The sequence below is a fragment of the Homo sapiens genome, chromosome 6 (genome assembly GCF_000001405.40).
Source record: "Homo sapiens chromosome 6, GRCh38.p14 Primary Assembly".
Lineage (NCBI taxonomy): Eukaryota > Metazoa > Chordata > Mammalia > Primates > Hominidae > Homo > Homo sapiens.
The window spans coordinates 10,347,086-10,357,492 of NC_000006.12; the positions used below are offsets into that span (position 1 = coordinate 10,347,086).

The 10,407-nt window shown below is 45.6% G+C and overlaps 1 long non-coding RNA gene across 1 annotated transcript, besides 1 other annotated feature; it reads right to left on the reverse strand.

Annotated features, from left to right (window-relative positions):
- Positions 103-1,302: an enhancer, noted in NCBI's record as "MED14-independent group 3 enhancer chr6:10347421-10348620 (GRCh37/hg19 assembly coordinates)". NCBI's record gives its function as "activates an origin of replication core promoter dependent on BRD2, BRD4, P300/CBP and CDK7 cofactors, and independent of MED14, by STARR-seq in HCT116 cells {active_cell/tissue: HCT116}" and the evidence as "EXISTENCE:reporter gene assay evidence [ECO:0000049][PMID:35650434]".
- On the reverse strand, positions 878-5,009 carry LOC105374921 (uncharacterized). The gene is made up of 3 exons (XR_926459.3): positions 4,770-5,009; positions 2,337-2,450; positions 878-961 (listed from the first exon to the last, which is right to left on the reverse strand). It is a non-coding gene; the product is annotated as an uncharacterized LOC105374921 (long non-coding RNA).
- Between the last annotated feature and the right edge of the window lie 5,398 nt (positions 5,010-10,407).

Sequence of the window (10,407 nt, forward strand, 5' to 3'; positions counted from 1 at the left end):
AAACCCATGTCATTCAAGAGTCAACTCTACTATAAGCTAGGTAGCTTATAAACAACAGAAATTTAGTTCTGGAGACTGGGCTGTTCAAGATCAAGGCACCAATAGATTGGTGGCTGGGCGCGGTGGCTCACGCCTATAATCCCAGCATTTTGGGAGGCCAAGGTGCATGAATTACTTCAGGTCAGGAGTTCAAGACCAAACTAGAGAACATGGTGAAACCCCATCTCTACAAAAAAATACAAAAATTACACGGGCCTGGTAGTGGGTGCCTGTAATCCCAGTTACTTGGGAAGCTGAGGTGGGAGAATCACTTGAACCTGGGAGGCGGAGGTTGCAGTGAGCCAAGATAGCACCATTGCACTTCAGCCTGGGTGACTGAGCAAGACTCTGTCTCAAGAAAACAAAGAAAGATTTGGTGTCTGGTGAGGACACACTTCTTGGTTGTCATAGACAGTGCCTTCTCATTGTGCCCTCACATGGTGGAAAGGGCAAGGCAGCTTTCTGAGGACTCTTCTATAAAGGCACCGATCGCATTCATGAGGGCTCTGCCCTTCTGACCTAATCACCTCCCAAGGGCCCCATCTCCTAACACCATCACCTTGGGGGTTAGGATGTCAATGTGCGTATTTCAGCAGGACACACTGAGGCCCACGCAAGGGGAGAGGTTGGTGGAAGGGAGAGGGTGGCTGGACTGGTGCAGTAGCTCAAGGGAAAGGTGAGGAGCTGAACAGAGAGGGGCAATGGAGTGAAGGGTAGGAAGTCAGATTTCAGAAACAAGTCTGAGAGGACTCAGCAAGCACATGCTGGGAATTATCTTCCAGTAAAATCTCTCTGTGACTCATTCGATGAGGAGGCTGAGGGAGGGGATGAATCAGGATGACACTGAGGTTTCTGGTCGGAGAGACTGCACAGGTGGTGACGGCAGTATTCCAAATGGAAGAGGGAGCAGGAGGAAGATCACCTGGTTCAGGGAGGAACATGATGTGCTTGGTTTGGGATGCATCACACTGGAAACGCCCACGGAACCTCAGGAGCAGATGACAGGGAGAGGTCACAACTGAGATCTCAATGTTGGTCAAAGCCACATAAGTGCATTAAATGACCCAAGGACGAAAAGAGAAAGGAATTCCTTGCTCAAGAAACTTCCCAACATAGAAAGGAGACAGAGTAGTATCTTGAGATGGGACAGTACGGGCATGTAGATGATTTTAGGTTTAAGGAGACATGGACATGTTTGTCAGCTCCAAGGAGGGAGCTAAAGGAGAGGAAACAATAGAATATTCAGAAAAGAGGGCTCTCACAGTTAGCATAGGAGGCAGTGGCTGTGGCAAATGAAGCAGAAGGGATTCACGCGCCATGCCCGGGTAGCAGAGAGCTTAGCCTCAGAGAGGAGAGGAACTGCTATTTTCTCAGACACATGGATTAACGAGTTACAGCATGGGAAAACCAGGTTTGAAAGTAGGGACTGGCCGGGCGAGGTGGCTCACACCTGTAATCCCAGCGCTTTGGGAGACTAAGGCAGGTGGATCACCTGAGGCCAGGAGTTCGAGACCAGCCTGGCCAACATGGTGAAACTCCATCTTTACTAAAAATACAAAAATTAGTTGGGCATGGTGGCGTATGCCTGTAATCCCAGCTACTTGGGAGGCTGAGACAGGAGAACCGCTTGAACCCAGGAGGCAGAGGTTGCAGTGAGCCAAGATCACCACTGTACTCCAGCCTGGGCAACAGAGTGAGGCTCCATCTCAAAAAAAAAAAAAAGAAAAGAAAAAAAGAAAAAAGAAAGAAAGAAAGAAAAGAAAAAGAAAAAGAAAGTAGGGACATTGGCCGGGTGCGGTGGCTCACGCCTGTAATCCCAGCACTTTGGGAGGCAGAGGCGGGCGGATCATGAGGTCAGGAGATCGAGACCATCCTGGCTAACACGGTGAAACCCCGTCTCTACTAAAAATACAAAAAATTAGCCGGGCGTGGTGGCGGGCGCCTGTAGTCCCAGCTACTCCGGAGGCTGAGGCAGGAGAATGGCGTGAACCCGGGAGGCGGAGCTTGCAGTGAGCCGAGATCGCGCCACTGCACTCCAGCCTGGGAGACAGAGCGAGACTCCGTCTCAAAAAAAAAAAAAAAAAAAAGTAGGGACATTGAGTGGTTCTCCCAGTGGTCTCTATGGCCTCTGTACATAGGGAGGTGATATAACCTGTTAGGAGTGAGGCCAAGAGTGGAGTGAGGGTATTGGAGAGCTTTTGGAACAGCAGCCCCGGAATAGGTAAAAGAGAAGCCGACTGAAAAGTGGAGATCGGGGAGTTATCAGCCCTGGGGAGAGAACAGCATTTCTTGAGTACCTGTTCTGTGCAGGCAGGATTGTGGCTGATCTGCAAGACGATGGTGACAGTGACGACAATGACTGATGGTGGCCTTGCCTATTTGCCATCTCACTGCCTCTTCCTCCTTTGCCACTGCAAACAAGAAGGTTGGTTGCAGCTGTGACTTGCACTGTGTAGGAGGATAGAGCTGATTCTTTCCCACCTTCCTGCTGTCACATCACGTCTCTGCTTCTCCCTCCTCTGCCCAGCTGCCCTGCTCAGTTCCCATGAATCTGGGGGGATGTGTTACGAGGAAAAAAGACAGAAAACACCCCACCACTTATCGCAGGGAAGATGGGAATTCAGAACCTTTTTGTTTGTTCATTTGTTGTTGTTGAGACGGAGTTTCACTCTTGTCGCCCAGGCTGGAGTGTAATGGCACAATCTCGGCTCCCCGCAACCTCTGCTTCCCGGGTTCAAGTGATTCTCCTGTCTCAGCCTCCCAAGTAGCTGGGATTACAGGGGCCTGCCACCACACCTGGCCAGTTTTTGTATTTTTAGTAGAAACAGGCCACCATGCTGGCCAGGCTGGTCGCAAGCTCCTGACCTCAGGTGATCCACCCTCCTCGGCCTCCCAAAGTGTTGGGATTACAGGCGTGAGCCACCGTGCCCAGCTCCCGTTTGTTTTAAACAGTTAATAATAGTGATTCTTTATCAATCTCAGACTCTGGGCCAGGTATCGTTCTACACACTCTGTGTATTAACTCACTTATTTCTTTTTTTCTTCTTTCTCCTTTTTTTTTTTTTTTTTTGGAGACAAGGTCTCATTCTGTCACCCAGGCTGGAATGCAGTGGCACGATCTCAGTTTACTGCAACCTCCACCTCCCAGACTCAAGCATCCTCTCACCTCAGCCTCCTGAGTAGCTGGGATTATAGGTGCACGCCACCACAGCAGCCTAATTTTTTGTACTGTTAGTAGAGATGGGGTTTCACTATGTTGCCCAGGCTGGTCTTGAACTCTTGAGCTCAAGTCATCCAACCACCTCAGCCTCCCAAAGTGCAGGGATTACAGGCGTGAGCCACAGTGCCTAGCCTAATCCACTTATTTTTTACACCAGCTCCATGAGATGAGGCAGCATAGCTCTCATGAAATAGATTCTGCTGTCATTGAGCCTATTTTACAGATGAAAAAACGAAGGCACAGACTTTCGCCTAAGGCTACACAGCATAGGCTATAAGTAGCAGAGTTGAAATCTAGACTGATTGGCCTCAGCCACTGCTTTTGATCAACACACCATACTGCCCTCCTATAAGAAAGCTGAACTTGGGGAAACCCTCAGCCGTGCTTTTAGAAAAGACTTTAGACATAATCTATTCCAGCCTCCTATATCAAGCAGAATTCCTTCTGCAGTTTGGACAACTCAGGACTTGACAGGCAGCCTGTTTCACTGCTGCCCAGCCCTAACTGGAACAAAACCTGCCAAAAACCTGTTCCTCGTCCTCCCTTCTTTGAGAAGCCCAGACAAAATGTAGCTATCAAGGTGGTGAGCCTCACCACTCTCCTGGAATATGCAAGTCATTATCCACCCTTGCACAAGCAAAAGAAGGGCCAGTTCCTTCTCTTGCTTGGAGCTAAATGGGGATTAAAAAGAAAAAAAAAAAGAGAGAAAACAAGATGACCCCAGACTGAGGCACTTTACATGTGGCCTCATAGGGTACTAGGAAAGGGTGACTCTGTGGCTCTTAGGTGTGCTACACATCCCTGAAGCCACAGAGCATCTGCCTCCCTTAAACCACCCAGAAGGAGCACACTGCTAGGCTCGACCCTTGGGCATTCTAATGTCCAATCAGAAAATGTGTCATTAGGCTGGGCACAGTGGCTCACGCCTGTAATCCCAGGCCGAGGCGGGAGGATTGCTTGAGGCTAGGAGTTCGAGACCAGCCTACGCAACATAGGGAGCCCCCTCTCTACAAAAAATTTAAAAATTAGCCAGTTGTGATGGTGCATGCCTATAGTCCCAACTACTTGGGAGGCTGAGGTGGGAGGATGGCTTGAGCCCGGGAGTTCAAGGTTGCACTGAGCCATGATTGCATCGCTGGACTCCAGCCTGGACAACAGAATGAGATCCTGTCTCAAAAAAAAAAGGAAATAAAGAAAAAGAGAAAGTGGTGCCATTCAACATTTGTTTAGGCTCCTCAACTGACACAAAAATGGACTTTACACTCTAAAGCCTATCTCTCGAGGCAATAATTCACAATTTGCTTCTGAAAGTACAGGGTGAGTCTGGAAATGGCTTCCTCACCGCCTATTAATTAAGCGTAGATCTCTAATCTCTGGTTTTCCTCTGGGCCAGCAGATTGACTCACCGTGCCCTTCCAAGCTCGGCCTTTTGTCAAGTACTTCTAGGCCCCTGTGGGAGCTCAGTGGGTCTGTCCCCATTTCGCTCTATCACCATATGGGCTGCACTCACCTGAGGAGCGAGAGGGCACGTGGCCAGTCAGATGGGGGCAGAGTGTCTCAGGAGTGCGGCCCAGGCTGCAGGCTAAGCAGTCGGCCTCGCTGGCCTGGGGACAGCCGCCCAGGATGACTGTCCAGAAACAACAGCAACCCTTTCAAGAACCTCTGAATCGCGGTTGTAGCTGTCGGCACTTGCTCCTTCACACTCCCGGGTGTGTGTGTATGGGAAAGGGAACAGGCGAGCAGGGACAGGACTGAAAACTCAGGAAACTATAAATAAAAAAGAAAACTTGAGCCAAATCTTTTCACACTAAAGGAAATAAACATATGGAATAAGTTATTGGAACAAGCAGCTGAAGCAAAGGGCATAAATGAGTTCAACAGATATCTGCTTTGTTTTCTAGAAGAGGAAAGGACCAAAGAGAAACTGGATAAGAAAGAGGTAAACAGGAGTGTTCCTCCCTCTTAATTTATTTATTCACTAATTCGACAAAAATTTTGGTGAACACCTACTAGGTACCAGACACTGTGTTAGGTTCCAACGATTCAAAAAACAAATAAAACATGGTCCCTGCTCTTAAATTGCTCACAGACTAGTGTTTTAATTGCCTTAAAGTTTTTGTAGTTTTAGGGTTCTATTAAAATTTTATCACAATAAGTATTTTAAGCATCTCAAGACATGTAGGGCTTTGGAAATAAAACTGATTAATTACCACGTTTTTTGTGCTTTGATGCATCTTTTTCAAACCAAGGCCACTTCCACCCTAGGTTGGAAAAGATACAAAGAGCTAATAGTAGTGGGGGATTCTTTTGTTGGTCACATGCAGTGGGACTTGGGTTTTCTCAGTACGGTGGAAACAGCCCAGACATTGCAGCCAGGAAGTATCCAGGCGTGGTCATTTACAGGCTGTTACACCCTGGCCAGGGTATAATTTTTTAAAATTGGCTGTTGGGAGATAATTCTCCATGGGTCTCTTAAGTTTCTATATATCTTACAAGCAAGGTACTTTGTTCCAAGCTGCCCTTACAAGGATGTTTACATAACAAATAGCTTTGGAAGGTAGAGATAGTGTCTCACTCTGGAGAAAAGGGGAATCAGGCTTACTAAACATTATAAAAGATTCAAGTTCCTTAAGTTTAGTATAATGTGACACACTGAATGTATAGGCATCTACTTAGGTCTATCCACATCACCCTTATGGGACTTGCAGAGGAAAGGGGAACTGGCACAAATACACTGGTGTTCATGTTGCTTGCTGTACCATTCATCATAAAGTCCTTTGTCTCTGACCCAGGAGTTTCATGTCTTCTGCCAGCATCCATTAAACCATGACAGGCTAACTTGTTAACTTACAGGTAGGGTAAAACCTTCAACCCTTCATAATTCTTTACGTTCACCCTCATATGAACATATAATGAGCTCATGTAAAATATTTGTTTAACTAATTAATGAGGGAACAAATAAGATGGCAAAGGTGATTCTAATAGCATTTGAAAATGGGTCAGCCGGGCACGGTGGCTCACACTTGTAATCCCAGCACTTTGGGAGGCCAACACAGGCGGGTCACGAGGTCAGGAGTTTGAGATCAGCCTGGCCAACACAGTGAAACCCCATCTCTACTAAAAATACAAAAATTAGCCAGGCCTGGTGGCGGGAGCCTGTAATCCCAGCTACTCCGGAGGCTGAAGCAGGAGAATCACTTGAACCTGGGAGGCAGAGGTTGCAGTGAGCCAAGATCACGCCATTGCACTCCAGCCTGGGCGATACAGCTGGACTCCGTCTCCAAAAAAAGAAAGAAAAGAAAAGAAAATGGGCATTTACTGGCTGGGCATAGTGGCTCACACCTGTAATCCCAGCACTTTGGGAGGCCAAGGTGGGAGAATCACTTTTGAGCCCAGGAGTTTGAGACCAGCCTAGGCAACATAGGAAGGCCTCTCTCTATAAATTTTTTTCCATTAGTTGTGCGTGGTGGCATGAGCATTGTAGCATGTGCCTGTGGTCCCAGTTACTTACAGAGGCTGAGGCAGGAGGATCACTTGAGCCTGGAGATTGAGGCTACAGTGAGCTGTGATCATGCCATTGCATTCCAGCCTGGGAGATAGAGCGAGACTCCGGAAAAAAAAAAAAAAAAAAAAAAAGGAAGGAAGGGAGGGAGGGAGGGAGGGAGGGAGGGGAAAATGGGTATTTATTTATCCTATCAGAAAAAAAAAGTTGAAATGAGCTTGTTAGATATAAAACTGGGTAATGTCTTACTGGTCGATAAAATTATGACCTTTGGGATTATCTTTTATAATAGAAAGAAATAATTTGCATCTCTATGGGAGAAATACAATTTATAATTTAATAATCTACAAAGTTAAAACTTGGACTCTGTATTTTCACAGAATATAGGCCCTAATCATAAGAAATAATTAATCAAAGGTACTCTCCCTAGAGATTTAAATAATCCTTGGAAGTAGGATGGCCTGTTAGGTAGAGCTTCTGATGATACTAAAAAGAGATGCCGGCAGTCATTCTTCTTTTGCTTATTTCCAAGTTTCAGATTATTATTTTCTTATGTCCTTGTACAAGTTACTTAAGTTCTCTGGAGCTCAGTTTTTTTCATCTGTAAAATAGAGATAATAATATCCTTTAAGGGCAGTTATGTGGAGGAGAAATAGTACATGCAAAGTGTCTGGCAGAGAATAGGTGTTAAATTAAAAGTAGCTATTAGGAGCAAAAATCATACACAATCAGACTTCCCAAAATCTTTCTTCCCCAGCCTTACCTGTGCTCCAAGGCTAAAAAGAATGTGTGTGTGTGTGTGTGTGTGTGTGTGTGCGCGCGTGCGCGTGTGTATGTGTATGTGATAACTCTGAAAAGCTGATTGGGGATAGTGGGGTGTTGAGGCGTGGCTCAATTCATTTATATAAAGATAGAGCCTAGCTTGAAAAGGCAAGCCACGCCCACCCATGGCTTAGAGCACTCTTTAAAATAACTTAATTTAATTTAATTTTTGTGGAGAGAGAATCTTCCTGTGGTGCCCAGGCTTCAGTGTGTTGACTATTCATAGGTATAATATAGCTCACTGCAGCCTCAAACTCCTGGGCTTAAGTGATCCTCCCGCCTCAGCCTCCCTAGTAGCTGGGACTAGAGGCACACCACGTTACCTGGCCTTAGAGTACTATTTTAAAGGCTTCTAAAGTGCTTACCAAATACACTAGAGGATTGAAGCAAGAAGGTAACAAGCATGATTCCCAGCATTCTGTGGGGGTAACTTGTACTTTTTGCAATTTGAAGAGAGTTCCTGCAGGAGGGAAAATAGCACCTTTTGCTGTCCCCGGAAGTTCCATCCCACAGCTTGATTAACAGGAGCTTGTCCAAACTAAGCCAGAAAAGTAAACCTGAACTAGCCATTCTGAACACTAGAAAAGCAGCATTCTGCCTGTTGTTCCTTTAGTGCCCTGCCCTGCCACAAGAGGAGACAGTGGGCACAGGTGAGGTCTGAACACAATAGTCTATATCATCCCACTCCCCGACTGCACACTGGTTTACTTTTCCCACCTCCCCTGCCCAGCAGCCTGCCGAGATCTGGCTCTTCACCCATGTGATAGCACAACAAGACTTTATAACTCCGTCACCTCTCAGCAGAAAGTCCCCACCCACACGGAAGAGCGCACCCCTGTTAGTAACCTAGTATTTTTCCTTGCCTGATGAGGAATGTTTGTTTTTCCATTACAGTAACATGCATAGTTCCCATGGGTGCTAATGGGACTTCCCCACAGATGCATAAAAGAGAATAGCACCTTGAATTTAGACAGAACCTTCTGCTGAATTCAGACATGATCTCATTAATTGCCTTCACATCCCTATGAAGTGACAAGGGGCCAAGTATCATGGTGTCTGGTATCCACATGAAGATAATGAGAAACATGTCATCATGTGTGACACAAAGTCAGGTATTTAACAAAAGTAACTAAGTTGAAATCCCCCTGCCCTCCAAGAACTTAGAGCTGTGCTGTCCCATAGGATAGGCACTGGCCACATATGGCTGTTGAGCATTTGAAATGTGGCTAGTCCAAATGAGATATGCTTTAAGTGTAAAATACACATCAGGGCTGGGCGCAGTGGATCACACTTGTAATCCCAGCACTTTGGGAGGCCAAGATGGCAGATCACCTGAGGTCAGGAGTTTGAGACCAGCCTGGCCAACATGACAAAACCTCGTCTCTATTAAAAATACAAAAATTAGCTGGGCGTGGTGGTGTGTGCCTGTAATCCCAGCTACGCAGGAGGCTGAGGCAAGAGAATCGGTTGAACCCAGGAGCGGGAGGTTGCAGCGAGCTGAGATTGCGCCCCTGCACTCTAGCCAGGGCAACAGACTGAGACTCTGTCTCAAAAAAAAAATTAAAACAAAATACACATCAGAGTTGAAAGACTTAGTGCAACAAAGTGACATATCTGATTAACAATTCTTATATTGATTACATATTAAAATGTAATACTATTTTTGGCTTTTTAAATTTTTTTCTTTTTTAAAATCATCCCTTTGGTAATAATATTTTTGACATATTGGTTTAAATAAAATAGATTATTAAAATTAACTTTTTTTTTTTCTTTATACTTTTCTCTGTAGCTGCCAAAAAATTGCTCATTGATAGCTTGCATTATGGTTCTATTGGGCAGAGCTGACTATGAGGCCAGCAAACTCCTTTTTGACCTTTATACATAGTCCCTTCGTTACACAGAAAATAAAATGTAACCAATGGCCCTGAGTCCTGGTCCTGTCTCTACTAATAACCAACTAGCAAGCTGTGACCTTAGTTAAATTAGTCTCCTGGTTTCTATGAGTTTTGATTTTCTTCTTGGTAAAATTAAAGTTTTGGACAATCAGTTGCAAGGATCCCTTCAAGTTCTGATAACTGGTAACTGGAAAATTACTTTGCCTTCTCACTTCTAGACCCTGGCCAAATTCCAAACAAGTTCTCAAATAGTCACTTCTAGAAGAAGATGAAGAGGTCTATCAAGGGTCTGTATCTGTTATATTCTGAGGAAGCTCCAGATGAAAGGACCACTGAACATTTTTAGGGGAATGTGAGACTAACTTTCAGGATGCAAATACAACTAAGAAATGCAAGAAAGTTTGGTTATATGACATTCTATGATCATTCAATGATCAGGTTTCCCAATCAGTCAGGACAGATTGGGTTATGCTGCACAATGGACAATCCCAAAATCTCCATGGATGGTTCAGAAAAGGATTTATTCTTTGAGCATACCATAGGTCCATTTCTGGTCATCCGATGGGGTCTTCTCACTGTAACCACTTAGGAACACAGGCCAACGGAAAAATGACCATCCTAAACATTGCCAGTGGCTATTCCAGAGGAAAAGTGAATCCCAGAGGGTATCACAGAGGTAATTATGCTGCCCAGCTCAGAAGCGACTCAGGTCACCTCCATTCCTTCTCACTGGCCAGAACTGGCCACATGGCCCTCTCCAACTGCAAGGGATCTGAGAAGTGCAATCCTACTGTGTATTCAAATAGTAGGAGAGCTGAAGTGTTTGATGCACAGGCCTAAAATCACCTGCTGGCCCAAGACTGTTCTTAAGCTTGTCCAGTCTGACCCAGGAGGATGTGTGGCCCTGGGCCCATACAGACTGGAGTGGA